The sequence below is a fragment of the Homo sapiens genome, chromosome 8 (genome assembly GCF_000001405.40).
Source record: "Homo sapiens chromosome 8, GRCh38.p14 Primary Assembly".
Classification (NCBI taxonomy): domain Eukaryota; kingdom Metazoa; phylum Chordata; class Mammalia; order Primates; family Hominidae; genus Homo; species Homo sapiens.
The window spans coordinates 49,053,109-49,076,415 of NC_000008.11; the positions used below are offsets into that span (position 1 = coordinate 49,053,109).

Below are 23,307 nucleotides of genomic sequence, written 5' to 3' on the forward strand. Positions count from 1 at the left end.
GCAAAAAGCGTGAATAGACAATTCATAAAATATGGGAATGGGCAATAAGCACATGAAAAGATGCTCACCACTATCAGGATGTATGAGGGAACTTCTTGGTGTGATGAAAATACTCTATATCTTGATTGGAATGGTGGTTACACAGGTATATATATATTTATCAAAACTCATCCAACTATACATGTAAGTTCTGTGCATTTCACTGTATATAAATTTTAACTCAATAAAAAGTAATGACATTTCTAAACAGCAAAAACTATTGATATGCGTTATTTCAACTTTTCCCAAGTATATCTATTAAACTATGAAAAAGGTTGAAAACACAATTGGTATATTCTTGAGCTCAGGTTTTATTGAAATAGGAGGTCTCTAAAATACCCTCAGGAGGGACTGGAAGAAGACTGCATTAGTTCGTTTTCATGCTGCTGATAAAGGCATATCTGAAACTGGGACCAAAAAGAGGTTTAATTGGACTTACAGTTTCACATGTCTGGGGAGGTCTCAGAATCACGGTGGGAGGCGAAGGCACTTCTTACATGGTGGCAGCAAGAGAAAAATGAGGAAGAAGCAAAAGCGGAACCCCCTGATAAAACCATCAGATCTCATGAGACTTATTCACTATCATGAGAATAGCATGGGAAAGATCAGCCCCCATGATTCAGTTACCTCTACCTGGGTCCCTTCCACAACATGTGGGAATTCTGGGAGATATAATTCAAGTTGAGATCTGGTGGGGACACAACAAAACCATATCAAAGACTAACACCCGTTAAGCATCTATGCACCAAGCACTGTGGTAGAAATTTTACAAACATTGTTGTATGTAGTATCTACAACAACCAAGTGGAGTTTGTTTAGTTATCCTCCATCTGTAGATAAGAAATCTGAGTTATGGAGATGAAGTAAATTGCCAAAGGCTACACAGTGAAAAAGAGGGAGAAGTAGAATTCAACCTCAGATTGGCTTGCTTCAGAATCTCTCTTCTTTCTACTATCATGCCCCAACTCATCAATATTTGCAGAAAGTCTGTGTCCCAGAAGAAACTGGTTTATGTAGAAAAAAAAATATATGTATACATATATGCATGTGTGTGTATGTGTGTGTATATACACACACACATACATACGTGGATTTACTTCTGCCTCTGCCACCCCTGAAACAGCATGACTAATCCTCCTCTTCCTTTTCCTCCTCAATCTACTCAGTGTGAAGAAGAGGAAGATGAAGACCTTTCTGATGATTCACTTCTACTTAAGGCATAGTAAATATATTTTCTCTTCCTTATGATTTTTTAATAATATTTTCTTTTCTCTAGCTTACTTTATTGTAAGAATACAAGATACAATACATATAACGTACAAAAATATTTGTTAATTGATTGTTTATGTTATTGGTAGACCTTCTGGTCAACAGTTAAGATATTAGTAGTTAAATTTTGGGGGAGTCAAAGTTGTATGTGGATTTTCGGTTGCTCAGGGGCTGATATTTCACATTGTTAACCTTCACATTGTTCAAGGGTGAACTATATGTGTCTGAGTGTGGGTGTGTTTGTCCGTGTGTGTGTGTATACTCTTACAGGGCTTTCTTTTCTTTCTTCTTGATCACAGTGGGAGGAAATTAAAGATATATCCATCTGTTCTTAATGCACAAATTTGAAGCCAGGTTTAAAAAGTTTGGGAAAGATTAAGACAAGGAAATTTGAAACAGCATTATCACTCAAAGGCATACTTCACATATGTGTCAATATGTTCTCTTAGTTGTCTCCCTTATAATCTTGTAGGGCAGGCTCACTTTGCCCAATATATTCTTTAAATTTTTTGTTGGTGCTCCTCAAAGCTCTATTTTCCGTGTGTGCTTTTAATTCTGGCTGAGGCCAGTCTCCAGTCGCTGTTGAGCTCCATGATGCTTCAGAAACCTCAAGCTCAATATGTTTGAAACTGAACTCATAGAGTTTTCCTAAAATGTGCACATTTCTTTATACTTTCTACTTAGAGAATGGCACTATGGTTTCTTCCTTGGCTGTGGATCAGTTGGTTTCTGGGCTCTATGATTTTACTTTGTTAAGTAGTGTTCATTTTATATTTTCCTCCTGCTCCTAATTGCTACAGTCTTATTGAAAGCCGTCACCATGCCTTTCCTAGACTCCCCATCAGAGTCAACAACAGTGGCTTCCCTACTGTACATCAAAGGTTTCTGCACTGAGGCAGTTGCAAGGTCCTCCTTCTTGCCCCCTTTGTCTCATTTTGCACCTTGGACACCACACTTATAATAATTTCTGCTACTGCACTACCTGCTCAGGCCCCATTTCCTGTGCTGGCTCTCATTCTTCTGCCTGACTTCTAATGTTAGGTTGATATGTCCTGGTCTCAGCCTTTTGTGTTCTTTGCTGGTCTCTATGTACTATACCATCAGGTAATCCCATTTAGACTTTTGGTTTTAAATATGATATTACATTGGTAATTTCCAGGACTTATATCTATGAATAATGAAGTAATATCTGTGAATAATAAATGCCAGGTCTTGCATCTCCATCTACAGCTCTGGCCTCTGTACTGAGCCTCAGGTGACTGTTTCATCTCCATTTGATTGTTTAATAAGGCATTTCAGATTTGACTGTCCAAAGTAAAACCCTTGGTCTAGACACCATGGCATACAAGAAAGACACTAGATTCAATTTGTTGTCAGTCTCTCCTTTACCAGTTGCCTAGGTGGAAAATCTAGTAGCCACTCTTGTTTTTTAAACATACTTTCCTCCCAATGCTAAAAATGGTATTTTGTCAGTTGTATAGCCAACTTACAAAATTTGATCCCTACCACTACATGTGTTCAATCTTTTGTTATCGCTCTCATGGAGAACTGCAATAACTTCCTAATTCTACTTGCTTGCACTTTTGATAACTTCAGAGTCCTTATTCCACAGAACAGCTAGAAACATCTTTTAACCATGAAAACCAGATTGTCATGATTCTGTTGAAAACTCATATAAAGCTTCCCCTCATGCTCAAAATAAAACCCAATCCATATCCCTACTGCCTCTACAAGTAGGAGTTGTTCTCTACTGACTTCTCTGAGTACATTTTCTATCAGCCTCCTCCCTCTCCCTGTCTCACTTGCTCAGCTGAATTCATGGCATTCTCTTCTGTTTCCAAGCATTTAGAGCACCCTTCCTTGCTGTTCTTGTTGTTTGGAACTTTCCTCACATTGATATTATGTTTGAATTTGGTCCTTCTTGCAGGCTCTGCCCAAATGGACCCTCCTCAGAGATGCTGTTTCTTAGACTCTATCTAAATTAGCAGTCCTCCAACACTCTTTCTCCTTGGTTTATTTTATTTGTAGCATATTTCTTTACTGGAAGTTATATTATAATTTATTAGATTACTTGAGTTCAATTAGATAAAAAACTTTGTCTTGTTAACCTTCTGTATTCACATCATAATAAGCCCTGGTGTGTAGTATACATACACAAAAAGTCTTTGAATGAATCAATGGATTGATGAGTTACTACTATCTGTGCAGTGAGCCTGCCAGATATCCAACGGGCATTGAGAATTTACAAAGTATATTGGCTTTCACCCTGCTGATAGAGCAATATCCATAAAAACTAATATCTGTAAATGATAAACACCAGATATATATTCAAAAATGCACTAATCATTTCAATCCCTAACTTTCCATTTTGTGATAGATAGAAATACGACAATCAGTTATCCTTTGGTATTTTTTAAGTCCACAAAATTCTTGGAAATAAAAATTGCAGTAGGGTGTGACATACAGTAGCCACTCATATAAATAGCTGTTACTTTGAACCATACCTTGCAAAATTTTTCACCCTAGTGTGTCATTTGATGATGCACAGATACCCCGTTTCTAGATTAGAAAATAAACTCCCCAGTTTTGTTGCTGGACTTGAAATCACTTGGTGATTATTATTGCAAACTTGGTATTCAAACTTTGTGTTCTTCCCTTAATTTTTTGAAAGCTTGTGACATATGTGCAAGTTATGAAGCCCTTAGTACTGTACCCTAAAATGACAGGCTAAAAAAGCCTTGCCAATATATGCATTGTTTTAGCGAATGCACATTACTGTGGCTCTTGAAACAGTTACAAAGTGTTTCACTTTATGATTTCAGTTTTTGATGAAATATTTATCAACATTTTTATTAGTCTGAATGAAGGGTCGTGAATTTTGGACAATGAGCTAACCCTTTCTTTTCCTCCTAATAAGCCATAAGCACTTTATCTCTTGTATGAAAAATTCAATTAATTAAAAGTTAAAACAAACTATTTCAGTATATTCCCATTAGATATGAAGGAGCAAAATTTTTTATATTTACTTTTTAAATGAATTAAAGATTATATTTTACAAAATAATATGAGTGAGTTTGCAGCCTCTGTATGCATTGATAGCATAAAGCACTGCAAAAAGGGTGTGCTATTTCCATGAGCAATTCTACATAAAATCTCAGATCAAAGATATTTTAGTGATAACTTCAATGATACTTCACTACACTCACCAAAAGGCCTACACTCACCAAAAAATGCTGCTACAAAGTCAAACTGTATTTTAATGATCAAGGGAAGTTAGTTTTAATGAAGTTCACTGAAGGAAGCCCTTCAAGTCCCCTAATATGATTATATACTCTGATGACTGAACTCCAATAGACATGTCTTCATAGAGTTTTGCTAAAAATGGCTGAACATAGTTCCTTACCTTTCACAGATGTCTAATGTACAATCAGAGATTAACTGAAAAGTAAAGGAGAACAGTAATTGGGTTAAATTGGTAACAAGTGGTATAATGCATAAAATAATTTAAAGCTTCCTATATATAACATTTTGAAGAACACTTAAATTTTAATAACACTATTATTATAAGAAAAAATAAAGGCATAGGGGAGACAAATGCTGTTTTCCTTACCTCAGCACATTTAGACAAAATCCAGACTTGAAGGAACACCTCCTACATTTTATTAGCCCTCATCAACAAATGTAAGTAAAAATTATCCATTGTGGAATTAAGCATAAGGAAATTTGTCTTGGTTTATGTGAGTAGCTCAAAGCAAAGTTAGACCTGTAACCTCTGATTCCCAACTTTCAGTCCTAATCTTGAGGTTACATTTCTTCCCCATTCTATGAAATAAAAGTCTTACTTAAAAGATTAACAGTTTATAATTAAATGGTACAATATGCACCATATATTACAATATGCAGTTCTGGGATTTGTTGTTCCATTTCTGTGTTTAGGCATTCTGCTTCTACTGGAGGGCACTCTGCTGGAATATGTGAGGGATGAAGACAGTGAAAGAATACCAAGCGGGAAACTGAATCAATGCATGTGCCATCTTGGAAACCAAAAATTAAAAGATCAGCTTGCTGGAGATATTTAATCAATCTTGCTGTGCATATTAAATGTGCATTCAAAGAAAAATGTGTTTTAATTACAGTTTAAATGCATTCTGAATGCTAATATGACAAGGATTGAAGCACTTTATTTTGTTTAGACCAATATTTTACAGTTAGCACATTGCTTGCAATGGAGTATTTAAAAAGTTACTTCAGCGAAAAGTTTTATAATTTCATCAAGAAAGAAGGAGCCAGATAAGAAAGACAACTGGTTTCTTTATTTAATAAAGAGCCTTAAAGAAGTCTTAACCTCCAAAGTCTCCATTTTCTAGAAATTTGCTTAATTTGCTTGATGCTTGGCTGTCATTGTGCATCTCCTCAGAGGGCTGAGCGCCACCTCCACCCACTTTGATGCCATGCAAAGGTTCTTCTTTCTGGCTGCCTGTTAATAAAATTATCTCCACCAATTGGACTATAAATATCCTAATGGCAGGGATATATGCATCCCCACTAGTGCTTGGAACAGTATATTGCACAGTCGGAGTGGTCTGTAACTGTTGACTGAACAGCCTCTATTCTGGCTGGCTTTCTTAGATATGGACACATTCCCTGAGAACAGTGTCTGTGGCACCCCACTTTAGTTTGAATGGAAACAGTGCAGACAACAGGGGCTTTATATTCTGTCTCAGCTCTTTGATTTTAACACCTGCTCTGTAATGTTAAATGCTATCCTATTTCCAGACCCAGGTCTATATATATTCCGTGTGATGTGGTGTGTTGTGGTGTGGTGTGGTGTGGGGTTGGGTGTGGAGGGTAGCATGTAACAGAGGTAAAGCACAATACTTAAGGCCTTAAATTAAAGAGGGATAACGCTATAGTGATCTTGGTTCATGGTAGGGAATGAGGTAGCCAGGGGAGTAAGGCTTAGTCTAGAAATACTAAAACCTCAAAATACTTATACACATTCACCAATAATTAGAAATGAGTGTGGATTCATGGAAGAACACTAAATCATACCTTTCAGTTCAGTGTTATAGATGCAAAGGTAGAAGACTGACTTATTTTGAGGCAATTCTGTCTTTGGCAAATATTTTAGCAATATTTTCTCTAGATGGCAAGCAAAACTATTGTTATGCAAACACTTACTCTGTAATTACCTAAAATTCCATACCTCTTTGCATGTTTTTGTGATTGAGTGTATATGCGTGAATATATATAGTAATAATACTTTAGAAAATTGTCTATGATTAACATAATATTAATTGCTTGTGTCTTCCTGTACTTAACTATACAGAAATTACCTTCAACTACTGATCTTGTTACATAAAACTATCTTACTATGTTATAATGTATTTGCAATACCAGAGAGTTTTCTGTAGTTTCTGGCAACAGCTTGAGAAAATTTAGCCAAGGTAATGTTTTATTTTGTTGTCTTTTTTTTCTTTCATGTGATGAAACTTATAAAGATATATTGCCCTCCCTGGAGTGAAGTTCAAAAACCATTCCGGGCTTTGGACCATCTGATAAAAGTTAATACTGCACTTCAACTGAAAGTTTAGCAGGGTTTATTTCCATAAGAGGGAAGAAATAGAAGGGAAATGAAAGAACACTGTAGTTGAACATTATATCTTCAATTAGGCATAGAGTGAAGAGTACAGTAAAATAAATATTACTGCTAAAGCTATTCTTTTTTGTATGTGTAGGTCTCAGATTTCAAAATTTTATTTTAAATAAATAACATATAATTTAATGCTTTCAACATGTTAGGTGGACTTGGGCTCTTTGATAATTATCCCTATGTTATTAAAAATGCATCTCCTGTCTCTGCCTCTGAAGCTTATTGCATCTCTGTTTTTTGTTTGTTTGTTTGTTTATTTTTGAGACAGAGTTTCGGTCTTGTTGACCAGGCTGGAGTGTAATGGCAGGATCTCGGCTCACCTCAACCTCCGCCTCCTGGGTTTAAGTGATTCTCCTGCCTCAGCCTCCCGAGTAGCTGGGATTACAGGCATGCGGCACCACACCTGGCTAATTTTGTATTTTTAGTAGAGACAGGGTTTCTCCATGTTGGTCAGGCTGGTCTCGAACTCCTGACCTCAGGTGATCTGCCCACCTCGGCCTCCCAAAGTGCTGGGATTACAGCTGTGAGCCACCGTGCCCAGCCCATCTCTGTTTTTAATTCTGACTAGGAAATTATTTTGTATAAGTTTAGTTAAAGGATCAGCGGAAAAAAATGACTGTGTGAAATTTTATACCAGAAAATATGGATATTACCTTCAAAAGTTGCAATGCATCCATTCATGGGTAAATAAAAATGAATCAAAATTGGCGTAATGGAAGATATTTTATAAAATGGGTAATTCATGTTCAAAAATAAACTTTTTTCCCTTAGCATACATTTCGTGTTTGAAATCTTACTTATAATTGGTAAATTGTCTAAGTGATATCATGATGTAATTGATGAAGAAAGGTGATTTGAACAGGTGATGCTCAAGGACTGTCTCCCTCATGCCTCAGTAAACTCCCCCTACATAGTCCTCATGGAGCCCAGCGAGAGGCAGAAACTCTCCTAGCAGTAGGGCTGGGCTGTTGGAGCTGATCCCCTTCAGTTGGCTGGCAGTGTGGACCCTGTCATGGGTGACAGGTGGGGACCCATAGTCTTTGGCAAGCTCAAGCAGGATGGCATGGGCTATACCGTGTCCCTCAAAACTCAGATGTTGATGTCTTAACCTTATAATAGGACTGGATTTGAAGATAGGGTTTTAAAGAGGTAATTACATTAAAATGAGCTTATTAGGGTGGGCTCCAATGCAATACAACTGGGGTCCTCATAAGAAGAGGGAATTTGGACACAGAGACCCACAGAGAGAAGACTATGAGCCATGGAGAGAGGCTGTAGAAGAAACCAACCCTGTGGACACATTCATCTAGGACTTCTCCTTCCAGAACTGTGGGACATAAATGTCTCTTGTTTAAGTCCCCCACAGTTGGCCGTATTTTATTACAGTGGCCTTAGCAAATGAACACACGGGGCAATTGTCCAAATGCCCACAGATGGAAATTGGAATGGTGCGATGGTGGAAGGGGCTGCTTTAGTGGTTGCACCATCTCCGGTGTTTGAGAGGGTCTGGGGAAAGAGGGTCTGGGGAAACAGCAATTAGAGGGCTGTGGGATGAGCTGACTGGTGCTGGGTGTTGCCAATTCATTGGAGAAAATCTGCCAGAGGAGAGTGGGGAATATTGATGTAAGGAGAAAGTCAGATGGCTCCTTGGCAGCAGGTAAAGGGACTTGTGGCTAAATGATAAAAAAGCTGAGGAGTGAGCTTAATTATGAGAAGCTCAGAGTCTGCTTAATTATGAGAAGCTCAGAGTCTGCTTCTCCAAGGGGAAGGCCTCTCCGGGCAAAAACCAGACACTGAGATTTGTGATGGGGACATTTCAGTCAATGCATTAAATTTTTTTGAATCACAAGATTGTCCCAAACCTTCTACAACTACAGAAATGGCCAACTCCTTCGTTTTAAAATCAGGGCTCTTTCCTTGCTTAAAAGGATGCACCATATGTCCTTGCTGGATCTACACCTATGTTCTAACCTGCCCATTGGACAAATAACCTGCATGAGTTACAACATTAGCTAACTAAGGATTGCTGGCCTGCTAAGGTAGGAAAGGGCCTCTACCCTAAAGGAGCAGCAGGGCTTAGCTAAATGCACATGGGCAAATGCAAACAGAACGGGTTCCTGATGGAGCTGGCTCAAGGAGTGCCAGACATAAAGTTGGTTAAGGGAGAATTTTTTGATAAGGGTGATTTTTCCACCATATAGCATCTAACACCCTGGCAAGGGCACCATGTGAAACCGATATGTTGTGAGGATAATTCTTGGAAGTAACAATAGCCCATACAAAGTGAAATAGAAATTCCTGAATTACTACAGAAGGTGGTTGAAGAAAGGGTAAAAAACCAAAACCTCAGAGTAATGTGCATGCTGGAGTGGGTGTCCTACTTAAGCTGGTTGTGTTTCACAGGGAACACTGTTTTCCTAAAATGAAAAAGAGCACATTGGAGACAAGAGCACCAGTTTCACTGAGAAAATCAGTGAGGCTTATTTTCTGTTTTTCAGGACTGAGGTGCTGTTATAGAGTAGGAAACCCTACTTACAATGGGAATGACAAGATCCCCCAAGAAGGGTCAGGCAGTGGCACTTAATCATCAGAAGCTGGTGAGTGCAATTGTCATGAGTGGTAAGGTCAGAATAGCAGCACAGGATGCCCTGCACACAGGGAGATGGCTTAGAGACATGGTGTTCCCAGGGCCAAGACGGACCAGTGGTCTCAAGAGCATTGCTTCATTTGTACAATAAAAATACAGCCAAGGATTTTGAGGGAAGCTAGATCAAAAAATATTCATGATCTCTGGCCTGGTTTCTGGATCTTATTAGACACTTCTCAGACCCAGAATTTACGGAGTGAAGGAGGGCTGGGTTCCCACGAGTAGGGATCCTGTAACACCACGGGAAGTGCATCTGAAAATCATTACCCTAGTTCTTCCACAAAGGGACCTAAGGGTTGTTCATGCACTGTGGAATTGAAGTACATGACATTTTGAGGACTTCTCAAACAAAAGAACTATGTTGAAATAGATTCTCAGGGGTCAGAAATGTCATCATGACATGCTTGTTAGGGCGGTATGTATAGGAGCCCTGACCCAGGTCTGGTTTACTCTTACTCTATCCACTGGTCGTAATGGCCAGTTCCCTGGTCTGCAAATGTAAAATTCACATGGGCACAATCCATGGCTGGCAGAACAATCATTTTGGTCACTGCCCTGTGATGCAGGAGTGATGTAGTAGGCAAGGCTTGGTGCCAGCTTCCAGAACTTCTCCCTGTCCTTCCACCTGCCCCATGTCATAGCCAAGATAGTAAATGTTTTAAAAATTGCATCCTGGGAGAAATGGCTGATACTAATGCTACTTTTAAAGATATAAAGAATGAGCTGGGCGTGGTGTCTCATGCCTGTAGTCCCAGCACTTTGGGAGGCTGTGGCAGGTGGATCTCCTGAGCCCAGGATTTCGAGACCAGCCTGGGCAACATGATAAAACCCTGTCTCTACAAAAAATACAAAAATTAGCTAGGCATGGTGGTGTGCACCTGTAGTCCCCTACTTGTGAGGCTCAGGCAAGAAGATCACTTGAGCCCAGGAGGTGGAGGTTGCAGTGAGCAGAAATGGCACCAGTGCACTCCAGCCTGGGTGTCAGAGTGAGACCCTGAAAAAAAAAAGTATATATAAAAAATGCATGAGTGGTGGCTGCCATTTAATTTAACTACCAGGCCCCTACAAAAACCAGCTGGATCCAGTAGATAATGGTAGACTTCCAAAGATTCCCTGGATTGGGGGGAAGTCCGGAGAAAATCAGGTGTCACAAGCTTCTAGGTTTTCCTTCCCAGTAGTGTCACATAGGACACACTGAATTCTTCCAGTGAAGATGTGTGACATGTACAAAATGCTACCCATTAAGAAAGTGCACCTGAGCCTCAGAGCCTGAGGTTTTTATGGAGGGTTGGTCATGCAGGCATAGAGCACTTGCCTGACTTTCTTCTGTTACTGAAGCGCCAGATCTCCATAGAACACATGTTGCTCTAAACTAGCCAGACAACTGGTACCATGTGGCTTAAGACCTCAGGAATGCAAAAAAACATTCCAGAGGCTCATTCCCAGGTACAGCCAAGGGCGAGCCATATGAACAGGACTTTCTTGGAACTGCACCTTTCCCACACATGCACCCACAGCTTACAAAAGATGTGTGACCAGTGGTACAGAAAGTTCAAAGATGAAGATATGGGTCGGTCCTCTGGGTAAACCATTTGTCTCAGAAGAGGTGCTGGTCAGGAAACACAGGCCAGAGAGGGTGGGAGTCACTGTGACCTCAAGTCCTCTGCAGTGGCAGGAATTAAACTTCATCCCACTTACCTTCCTTGTATAAGTTTTCCCAGAAAAAGAACCAATCTGAGCCCCTGAGGAGATGCTCCTCAGGGATGAACTTACTATCCAAAGCCAGTGGATTCAAGCAATGCAAAGGCAGGATGTGGGGCCTGGCAGTGCCGCCCAGGTTCCCCCCCAGGACAAGCCCACCGAGGCCCACTCACTTCAGTCCAGCATCTCTCACTGCTCAGCCCTGCTTTCCTTACTCTCTTTCAGCATTTTCCCAAGAAAAGTCTTTAATAAAACTGTGGGCAAATTTGTCTGTCTTCCAGGGAACAGAGCCTGAGTTCCTACAGTCAGATAATCAGATGCACTCTGCATTTCATAGACGAGGATCTGAGGCATATCAAAATAAGCAGCTTCCTCATATTGAGAATGGGGATTTGTGGGGAAATGGGAGTAATATAGATCGGGGGAAAATGGTGTTTAAATTTCGATCTGACATGAAAAGCAATCAAAATTTAAACAAAAAGAATTTGATAATTCTTTGGTCTTACTGATACTATGGAATGTCTGCTAGACAATAAAGGGTGTTCATGTTCCCAATCTGTTTCATAGGCTTCCAAATTATCAGTATATTGACCGTTACTCAGAGTAATTATCCAACTCACTGGGTGTAGGATTTGCAAGCCAGAAACACAGATGTGGCTTGAGCCAGTTATGTTCATTTAGTTACTTTACCACAGGAAGGAGGAAGTGTGACAGTATTGAAAAACAAAAAAACAAAAAAACAAAAAACAAGTGCAGCTCAGAGAATCCTAAACGGAGAACATACTGAGGAAAGGTCTTTGCATCAGAAAGGGGAACTCACCTCCCCCCAGTGTATGAGTTAACATTGAGGCTGAGGTGGAAATATCTTGTTGCTACTAGTAAATTTAACTACCAGAGATATCACTCAGCTGCTCTGTGGCTTTCTAGATGGTGTCAAGGATGCCTATGGAGGAAACCTCAAGAATCCAGACCAGTGCTTGGTAATAATTGATCAAAAAGTGTTTTTATAGCATGATTACTATTTGGCAGCCAGGCAGGAGAGATGCAGGGCAGAGGAGAGAAGACGAAAACTGATATTAATTTGGTTTTTAGTGTTTTCATATTTGCATGATGGGCAACTGACTCATTATTCCATCCAATAGTAATACAGATATGAATCAGGAAATTATTTAACTTAATTTTCTTATGCTTTAAGGGGCTCAGGAAAAAGGGCAAAAGAGAAATACTTGTAAGTTGTGTAAACAATGTAAGTTAGGGCATGTGGTGGGAATGAGGCTGCCACATTCAAGTGGAAGGAAATGACTGGGCCTGCTTAGCAGAGCAAAAGATTTGTGTTAGGATCAAGAACAATAAAACATTCTGGTGACATCAGCCTTTGCTCCTTGGCAGCCCGGCATCTGAAGACCTATTTTGGGGGAACCTAACACTCTGTGCCACTCCCTATTGACGTCCGAGTTGATTTTAATGGTCAGAGTGCAAGCTAATCTCTTATAACAATAAGAACATGATACGGCCTAGAAAGGGAATTTTATTTCATTCTCTGGTACTAGCCCTGAGGTGGGAAAGCTATTCTCACAGTGTAGCTTCTTCCAAGATGGTTTCAGTTAGTAACATTCTCCAGCCAGTAAGCCAAAAAGAAGTCCACGCCAAGTGGCTTGGTCTCTAAGGAGATGATCTTGAAGATAAACAACGCATTTCTCACAGTTCACTGGCCCCGACATATTCCCTGTTGCAAGGGAGGCTGAGAAATGGGTTGCCTAGTCGGGTGGATGATGCCCAATAAATGTTAAAAATGAAAGAAGAGAGTAGATACTGAAAGACAGCAGCTTTTGCTACAAGGATACATATTTTCTCCATATCCATGAAGCTAGAGCCAATCGCCTGGCCTAGGGTTAGCCACTAAGTTCAGCCCGCTGGGGGCTCTGTGTTGGTGGCTTCATCATAGTTGACAGCAGGACCCTTGCCATTTTCTGCCTGTGGTGTGACTTGGGCAAGTGCTTCTCTGCTTAAATGTACTTGGTTCTTGTCATTTTCTAAGCCTGGATTTTTCCTGAGTGACTCCCAGAAGTGCAATAGCTCTCAGGACAGAGTTTACAATATCACGTAATATGGGTTGAAAAACAGGATTTATCGGGAAAGCATATGAGCCAGGGGTCAGTAAGAGAGGGCACTCTGAGCCCCAGTCTCTCATCCCCCAAGAAGAAGGAGGGCAATAATTTTCTGGAGAACATACTGTAATATTATGTTGTTTTGGGCTGCCTTCTTCTAGATAAGAACAACTTTCTCAGCGGATCACTAAACAGCCAGGGTGTAAGGAGGCAGATTTGGGGTGCCCACTGGATTTAGGATGCTACTTTTTAGAGGCTGTCTAGAAGATCCAGCAGCCTGGCCCTTGAGATGTGTGGCTGTGGCAATTTTAGCTCCAGTGCCATGGGAAGTGGTTTGGGTGCACCTCCTCCCGTGTCCTGGCTCTGGCAATTCATGTACCTGATGACCCCCTGTAAGCTCCCAGGATCTTTTCTGGAGAATCCTGCTCATGAGAGCACACTGCTCTATGCTTCCTAATGATTGTATGAACTGACCACCATCCTCCCATTACATTGTTTCCTGATTCTAGATGAGATTGGTTTCTGTTGTGTAAAATCATGACAATTAATGGATAGACTACAGACAATTCAGAGAAATATAAAATTTAAACAAACAATTGAATTATATGTATTGAAACTGAAATGAATTTCAAATAAAGTTTGATATTATTATTTCCTTTTTCATATATCACTTGTGGAGGCCCAGAGATAGTCAATAACTAGTTTTTGGCAACCTTTTCTGCAACAATTATGAAATGAAACAGTGTTTTAATGCAGATTCCCATGTGTTTATAGAGTACATGCTACACATATTCATTTGCAGCATTAGTTATTAGGAGTGACTATGCTATGCTTAATATAGCACATTTATTGGCCTGAATATCATGACACACTTAAAATTCTTGACATCTTACATGGACAATCAGATATTTTATAACCGCAGATTAGAATAAGATCTAGACACTTTAAGTCTTCCAAGACAGTCAGATATTGATCCTCTCATACTGCACACATGGCCAGTGGTCTGTGACAACACAGGGCCATGGTGAATTATTAGCAAGTTTAGTCATTGTTCTTGCCATGGATTTCCATGCTCCAGAAAGCAGCAATCTGATATCTATTTACTACTGCATCCAATGTCAATAAATTTAGAAAGGGTAATAGTATCTTACATGTGATAAACAGATCATCTCTCAGAAGGGTTGCAGTTGACTAATTAGAACTTAGTCTTTCTGAATCCTTTCTCAACCATTTAAGAGGCTGATATCTCAGTAGGGCACATCCTACAACTTGTCTGAACAGGAGTGTGCAGAGGACAGCTCCATTTTCCCTGCTGGTTTTCAGCATGTCATTGGAATTAGACAGTCACTCTCTTCTTGTCATTATCAAATAAAAATGTTAGCACCCTCGACTCTAGGACAAAAGACTTGCTGAGCATGTGATTGTGATTAATTTTAGTACTTGGATATTTAAAAAAAAACTTGAATCAGCAATCAGGTAAAAATTACTCTAATTATGTCAGTTATAGCATTTAAATCTAAGCCCTGTTGTGACATTTTAATTATTACCCGAGGATGTAATCCTTATTACCAGGCAAAGAAGGGATGCATTAGTTTTATTACATTTTTAGAACCTAAACTACCATATCTGTCAGGTTTTGTGCTGGGCATTGCTGAAGCTGAAATGAATAGAGGTACCTCCATCTTTGACCTGCTCACAATTTAATATGTGAGAGAAGTAAATAACTTAATAAAATGTGAGTAGTGTTATGATTCAAAGACACAAAAACTAGGGTCAGGTGAGAGTGGTACCTGAACACCATGATGCCACTAGCCAGGAGAGGTGGGATGGCCTAGTGGGTGGAAGAGTACAGAGGACAGAGAGAACACTCGAAATGAACCTGCAAACTGACAGCCAAAACTTATGAAGAAATCTCCTGCTAAGAAAGCCAGCCAACAGAGTCACAACTGTGACAGAATGCACATGGAATGATGCTAATTTCATAGAGGGTTTCAACCAAGACTTCACAGTAATCATGTTAAAGAAGGTCAGAGAAACAAATGAAAGAATTATGAAAAACAGGACAGAAATAAAGCAACAAAATTTAAATAGGTAAATACATATACATACATATGTATGTATTTGTGTGTGTGTATACATACACACAAGCTAAATTTTAGGTAAGACATAGTTAAAAGGAGAAGTAGTAAATTGGAAGAAACACTGTGGTACTCACTCAAAATGCAGTACAGACAATAAAGGATAAATTAACTAAATTTACATTTATATTAAGGTTTTAAAGTACACACATGCATACATGTGGCTGAGACATAAAAATTATGTAGAAAGATCTCAACCTCTAAAGTTCAAATTGTGAGTCATTCCAATACATATTAGTGGGCTAAACTCAAATATTTCAAAAAACAGATATCATTAGGAAAAAATACAGTTAAAGGATACTTGTAAGTGATTGTTGATACAGAGAGAACAGCAAGTTGAAAATTAAGGGATACAAAAAGATATACTTTATGATTACTCAGATAAAAAGCTGGTACTACAATATTATATTAGGCTAATTAAACAAACAGCACAAAGGTAAAACGTTAGTAATGATAAAAGAAGACAAAGCAAATATCCACTCAGACAATATTATAATCGTGATTATTGCGTGCCCCATCCCAAAACTTCAAAATTCATAAAACAAAAATCAATATAATTAGATGATATACAGGAAACTGGTAGATCAAGCAGTAACACATTGGTAAGTATAAGAATTATTTGCTTAAAATGTTAAGTAATGCAATCTAGCAGACACATGTAACATAATGGCAGTATACAGTAAATAAATAATGTTTGTTATTCTCAAGTGCATAGAAAGCCACTTCCATAGACTACTTCAAAAATGAGTAAAAATCAGAAATTATCTCATGACAAGGCAGAAGGTTTAGAAATCATCAATTAAAAGATAGCACTTAGAAAATAATAGCTGCTGGCAAGGTTGCAGAGAAAAAGGAACGCTTATACGCTGTTGGTGGGAGTGGAAATTAGTTCAACCATTGTGGAAAACAGTGTGGCAATTCCTTAAAGACCTAAAAACAGAACAATCATTTGACTCAGCAACCCCATTACTGGACATATGCCCAAAGGAATATAAATTGTATCATAAAGACGCCTGTAATCTCAGCACTTTGGGAGGCCAAGGCGGGCAGATCACAAGGTCAGGAGCTGGAGACCATCCTGGCTAACACGGTGAAACCCCATCTCTGCTAAAAATACAAAAATTAGTCGGGCATGGTAGTGTCTGCCTATAGTCCCAGCTACTCAGGAGGCTGAGGCAGGAGAATGGTGTGAACCCGGGAGGTGGAACTTGCAGTGAGCCGAGATCGCCCACTGCACTCCAGCCTGGGCAACGGAGGGAGACTCCATCTCAATGCACATGTATGTTCATTGCAGCACTATTCACAATAGCAATGACATGGAATTAACCTAGATGCCCATCAGTGGTAGACTGGATAAAGAAAATGTGATACATAGACACCATGGAATATTATGCAGCCCTAAGAAAGAATGAGATCATGTCCTTTGCAGGAAGACGAATGGGGCTGGAGGCCATGATCCTTAGCAAACTGACACAGAAACAGAAAACTAAATACCACATGTTCTCACGTAAAAGTGGGAGTTAAATAATGAGAACACATAGACACATCGAGGGGCACAACAGACACTGGGGTCTATTGGAGGGTGAAGGGCGGGAGGAGGGGGAGGATCAGGATAATAACTAACGGGTACTTGGCTTAATACCTGGGTAATGAAAGAATCTGTACAGCAAATGCCACAACACGTGTTACCTGTGTAACAAACCTGCACATGTACCCTTGAACTTCAAAGTTAAAGAAAGTCTTACACTTTTGGAAAAGAGGAAGCATTCCTAAACACTCAAGAAATGTGATAATTGTAGTTATAAAATATTTTGAAATAAATGACAAGAAGTGTAATTTTGGAGTAACTAAAAGGAAGAAGAATTAAAGCATAACAGAAAATAAAGAAATACAAAACCAAGAGACAAGAGAGGATTAAATATTTCTTTGAAAAAATTGGCTTTAGTAGACAAAGGTGTAGCAAAACTAATTATTAAAGCAGAGAGGGAGAAGAGGCCTAAATAAATGATATTAACAACAAAAAGGAAGGACGGTCAGGTGAAGTAGATATTTATTATTTGTTTATTTTGTTTTTATTTAATTGTGTATATTTAAGATGTACAACATGATATGACATTTAGAAATATCTATACATGCTAAAATGATTACTACACTCAAGCAAATTAACACAGCCATATCATATGGTTCTTTTATTTTGTATGTGTGCATGAGTGTGTGTGTGTGTTAAGAGCACCTGAAATCTGCTCTCTTGGAAAATTTCCAGTACGCAGTGGAACAGTATTAGCTACAATCCTGCTGTACATTAGATCTCTAGAAGTATTCATCCCACATAACTGCAGCTTTTGTACCCTTGGCCAACATCTCCTGACTCCCCGATCTCCCTGCCTCGGGTAATCACTCTTCTGTTGTCTGTTTCAGTTTTTTAGATTCCACATGTAAGTGGGATCATGTAGCTGTCTTTTTGTCCTGTGTCTGGAGTAATATTTGAAAGGAACCATGATGGCATACTACAGTAAATGTTTTGAATACATTTGAAAACCTAGCTGACATGAATAATTTTTTAGCAATGTATACGCTACAAAAATTGTGTTAGGAATACACAACCAATAGCCACTGAACAAATCGAATCAGCAATGGCCACAATCACCCCTCAATGTAAAGGGAGCCACAATTTGATGCGTAAGTCAACTGAGTCTGTGAAAGGGCAAAGCAGGCCGGGCGCAGTGGCTTACGCCTGTAATCCCAGCACTTTGGGAGGCTGAGGCGGGTGGATCACGAGGTCAGGAGATCGAGACCATCCTGGCTAACACGGTGAAACCCCATCTCTACTAAAAATACAAAAATTAGCCAGGCATGGTAGCGCGTGCCTGTAGTCCCAGCTACTGGGGAGGCTGAGGCAGGAGAATGGCGTGAACCTGGGAGGCGGAGCTTGCAGTGAGCCCAAATCGCGCCACTGCACTCCAGCCTGGGCGACAGAGTGAGACTCCGCCTCAGGAAAAGAAAAAAAAAAGGGCAAAGCAATCTATCCGAGAAATTTGTTACTAAAATCAGAATAAAATTTAGCTTTTGTATCAGTAAATGATATTGATACAATGTCATAAATATCCTCTTATTACCCATGATTTCCATTTCTCTTGTCATTCCTGCTAGAATTTCTAACTCACTGTCCATCTGTCCATCAAGTTCCACTGACTCTGTCCCACTTTCAGGAAGACTTCAATGTTTCCTAGAGTGCTTTCTTGCTCCGCTTTGACCGTGGGACTCTGCCTTGCCTCACTGAAACTGTGGGCAGGTATGTTCAGTCTCCCCAGCCAGATAGCAGGCTGCTTGTACATCCCACACGTGCCCAGCGTGGTGCTGCAGGTGGAGTGTGTGATTGTATCTAAGGCTGAGGAGACACTTGTGTATCGCCTCCCTCTCTGTAGTCACCAGCGGTTGTGATATTAAAGAGGCTGAGTCCAAAAGAGCATTGGGCCAAGTCCTTCCCTGCTGACTGCAGCCAAACTTGGCAGGCTGCTGCGTTCGGAGGGCCTTTGGCAGGCTGGAGGGCAGACGTGCAGAGAGTGCTTGCTTGCTGCCTCTGGCTGGCTGTGTGCCCACCTCACTCCGAGTCACCCACAGCTCAGGTTCCAGCCAGCCTGGGGCTTCTAAATATAAGGTGTGCTCAGGGGTCTCCCATCACGGACCTACCACTGGCCCTGCGTATGTGGTGCAGCCTCTCTTCAATCCCTAAGAACTGGTTCTTTCAAAGCATGTATTTTCTGAAGAAACTTTAGAACCACGTTTATTTTAAAAGAACGAATTGGAGAAAACAAATCGGTGAGTGACTACCTCATGGCTGAGTTAACACTTCTCTGACCTTTAGGTCTGTTTTAGATGGAGTAAGTTCTGTGCATTGTGTATAGTTGGATGTATAGTTTTTCTTTTTCACCTAAATGTACTACTTAATTGCATCTTTTTATTGCAGTATATTTGGTTGAACTTTTGTGTAAACATTTAAATTCCTTTTATCATATATTTATTACATGGTAAATGATAATACTTTGTAACAGTCACGTGGAAAAAAGAAAAGGAAACTCCCTGTTATTCATATCAATGTCTCTTTTCTCTGTCGCTGTTTCAGATTAATGCTCACAGCTTCTTGGGTGCTTTCTCACGGGTAAAGCCATGGCATCCGTACCTTCCATTGGTTGCCTTCTAGCCAGAAATCAGTATTATCGAAGTAAGTTGCATCATCATAGAGACGTCCCTAGATAATATGATTTGAGGTGATGTTTGTGGGATATTGTTAACACAGGTATCATGTTACCTTCAGAACTTAAGGGAGAGAACTATTGGTGACAATGAAGAAAGCAGGAGGCCTCAGGGACTTCTCTGATCCAGTGCTGACAGGCACTTCTTTGTTCTAGCTACGCTGTATCGTTGAAGCCATTGACACTTAAAAATCAGTGAACATCGGCTTATGTTTCATTAGTACATTTTAATTTTATGTACCTTGCATTCTGTAAGATTCACTAAAAACTGATAATTTTACATAAATAAAGTATTATTCAACTCCTTAGAAAAGAAAAGATAGCATGACTTTGCTTCAAAAATTTTCTAATTTCCATCTTCTGCTATGGATAATAGGCCAACTTCTATCTGGCCAGTTTTATTTTTATTAATCTATCCATCTGTTCATATTCATGGCCAAATAGAAAATTGTAGCTTCTTAGAGAAGATTGAGAAATTTCATAAAATAAAATAAGCATTTCAGAACCAAATTAGTAGTTATTACAAGTATCTATGGCAACAACACATAGAAAACTCTTCTTTCAAGGGTTGTTTGTAGTATAAGTGTTAGAGACAACTACTGATTTATTCATTTTACAAAAGTTTACGCTCATTTACTTGGTGTTATTTATCCACAGGAGTTACTTTTATATTCTGATCTTATAAGAGACATAGGTTTTAAATACAAGCCTAATAAGACAAAATGTTTGTTCTTTCCAAATAATTCCTTAATTTCTAGATTTGATGACTTCTGTAGAACTTTAAATATACATATATGTAATATTTCTAATGTAGTACAACAATATTTATTCTTGGTCTTGTTCTTTCTTAGTTTTTGAATCTGAAAACATTTATAATACATTTTAAATTCAACATTGATATCCAAGGAGAGAGTGAGTTTCCTGCCTTGGAAATGAGTATATCTTATCAGTAGAACATAGTATTTCTTAATATAGCAGCTTTCTATTGATTGGTAATTTGATCAGTTTTTCAATTCATGAATTCACAAGCCAGGAATAAATGATTTCAAACCATGCTACTTGACAGTTTGTATATAAATGATGCGGATTTGCTTGTCTGGTTGCCAGTTATTTATTTGTTTAATATCATTTGTTTCCTACAGAGTCCAGTGTTTCTTCAGTTAGTTCTTTAACTAGCTCTGATTCTGTTAACTTCATAGATGACGACAAACCACAGCAAGGTACTTAGTTATTTCTTTCAGTGTCATCCTTATTATTTCTTTTTATTTTCAATCTCAAATTTGTTTGATAAGGAGTAACATGAATTTTATTTAATAGGGTTGCCTGAAGTGGCAGAATCCACCTGGTGGTTTAAATCGTTTTTCCATTCTGAACCTGTGCTTTCAAATGTGAGAATAAAAGATCTGTCTGCTACTGGGTGAGTTTTAGCCTTCTCTGGTAAGGGCAGTTCTTACTTAGTGAATGAAATAATGCATATGGTATGTGTTATGCTACTCACTTAGGGTACATAGTTGTCTCTTGAGAGCAGTGAGCCTTGCCTATGAAGCGCACCTGAGGGATGAGGGTGGCACTAACAGAGCTCCCTCCTTGCAGGTCGCTGTCAGGAAGATCATAGCACCCTTTCCAGTTCAATCACTCAAGAGTGGTGGAGAAGTCATATGCCAAACTGTGTCATTGTTTGGCGGGGGATGGACTGAGAATCAGAGGAAAGGGTCTAAATTTGTTTTGCTCATACCTTCAGGAAAAGAATAACCATTGTCTAGTTGTTGTCTTAAATAACCTTAGGATAACACTGCTGATTTTGATTAGCTTCTGTGTGGTGCAAATTACTAGACAGGTTGAATTGGGAGTTTGTGTGCAGTTGTTTTCAGACATTTTGAACTCAAACACACTGACTAGCACAGTTGTAATTTAATATATTTAAACTACTTATTTTGGATTTTAGACATTTGAATGCCTAGTAACTAAATGGAATAGAAAGAATCTATAATAAAGGGATTCATAGATGCCAATGTTGAAATATAGTGATTCTGATGAATTTCCTATCTAAGACAAATTTAGAATCATTATTTAAAATTAGAATCATTATTTAAAGTATTTTTAAAAGCCAATGCAAGATTGATTGTTGGAAAGATGTTTTCTTGACACTCTTTATCAAGTTTATTCATTTGAATTATCTGGACAGTGTTTCATTTATTTATCCCCTCCTCTCTGACTACTATAAAATCAACCCAGATTACAGATGAGCACTTTGTAGCTGATCATCTTTGCACTGCCATTTGATGAACATGTTGGTAACGGTTGCCTGCCTTATGTAGCATGAACAGTTGATTCTGACAATCAAGATCCTCTGCCTGCTGCAGTGGTCCATACATGAACAGCTCCCCTTCAGCGCCCCAGCTATTCCAGGACTCTTCTCCATTGTAAGAAGACAGAAATGTGTCTGAGATCTCATTTATGAGACAAGATCACAGCAGCCACTGATATAAAAAAAGTTTAGGCATTTTTCTCAACACAAAGACTATCGCTGGAAGTGGCACTTGCTACCTGGTGCATCTTTGAAAAGTGTGCCTTTAGAAACAAGACACCCTTTTAAAGTAATATGTCTTCAAATGTTGTGACTTACATAAAGTAGCTCTTTCATTTTTTATATCATTTTTATTAAAAAAACTTAAGTTAGACTCTTTTTCTGTCTGTTGAGTGATTTATTTATTATGCCTTAAAACTGACTTGTCAATGTTTCACATAATGGTTTAAAGGGCATTGAATTCGAAATTTTAGAAAATAATTGTAAAAATTCAATTTTTTTAAAAGAATGAAGGTTGGAAATAGCATATGTATCATTAAGTATATTAGAGCTAATCAATTGGTCATTGTATAGACTTTAAAATTTATGACTTTAAATAATATTTAATAACATGGAAAATTATATTATGGCATTAAAAATTAGCATAATACACCATATATGGTACAATCGTAGTTGTATTAAAAAGTTACATATGCATAAAGATAGACTGGAAGGAACTGTACCAAAATGCTGACAGGGCTATTTCTGGAGATGGGATTATGGGCGTTTTTCATTCTCTTTTTAATATATTTTTCCATATCTCCCAATTTTTCTAATATGACAAGTATTGTGCGTAATTAGAAAATAATAAATGTTAATATAAAAAAGCACTGAAATTTTCTGCATAAGTATATTCCCTACATTGAGTAGAATAGCTCTCTCTTCTTTGAATATTGGGTAGATAATACTTAATAAGTTTCAATTGATAAGTTTCTGTGTATTGCTTGCAAGTAGTTTTCAGTATAAGATGTAAGACTTAGATATCAGGGATACTCACTCACTTAGAGGTAGACATCACTACAGTCATGGGGCCAATGCTGACTTAAAAATCCAGTGAAGCACACATAACCCTTAGTAGGATGGTCTTCCTGCCCAACCACATAACCATGACAGAGCATCCAGGCTGGCCACTGGCAGTGACAGATATTGCAG

The 23,307-nt window shown here is 38.8% G+C and overlaps 1 protein-coding gene across 4 annotated transcripts; it reads left to right on the plus strand.

The window, feature by feature from the left end:
• Positions 1-1,227: 1,227 nt before the first annotated feature.
• Positions 1,228-22,985, plus strand: PPDPFL (pancreatic progenitor cell differentiation and proliferation factor like). Of its 4 annotated transcripts, none has more exons than NM_001256596.1 (5): positions 1,228-1,261; positions 19,679-19,777; positions 20,951-21,028; positions 21,126-21,225; positions 22,044-22,975. In NM_001256596.1, exons 2-5 carry the CDS (start codon positions 19,723-19,725, stop codon positions 22,063-22,065), a joined length of 255 nt encoding a protein of 84 aa, NP_001243525.1. In that variant the 5' UTR covers positions 1,228-1,261; positions 19,679-19,722; the 3' UTR covers positions 22,066-22,975. The 4 variants fall into 4 exon arrangements, with proteins under 4 accessions (NP_001243525.1, NP_001243527.1, NP_001243526.1 ...); NM_001256598.2 differs by lacking the exon at positions 1,228-1,261 and adding an exon at positions 19,236-19,374 and having other exon boundaries at positions 21,402-22,985; NM_001256597.2 differs by lacking the exon at positions 1,228-1,261 and adding an exon at positions 19,236-19,374 and having other exon boundaries at positions 22,044-22,985.
• The last annotated feature ends 322 nt before the right edge of the window (positions 22,986-23,307 follow it).

Bases quoted from the DNA above. Each gene is read 5' to 3' on its own strand.
- PPDPFL (NM_001256596.1), top strand. From the start codon at position 19,723: ATGGCATCCGTACCTTCCATTGGTTGCCTTCTAGCCAGAAATCAGTAT. The intron at 19,778-20,950 runs GTAAGTTGCATC...TGTTTCCTACAG, and splicing joins CAGAAATCAGTATTATCGAA to AGTCCAGTGTTTCTTCAGTT. The intron at 21,226-22,043 runs GTGAGTTTTAGC...AAATCAACCCAG, and splicing joins AAAGATCTGTCTGCTACTGG to ATTACAGATGAGCACTTTGT.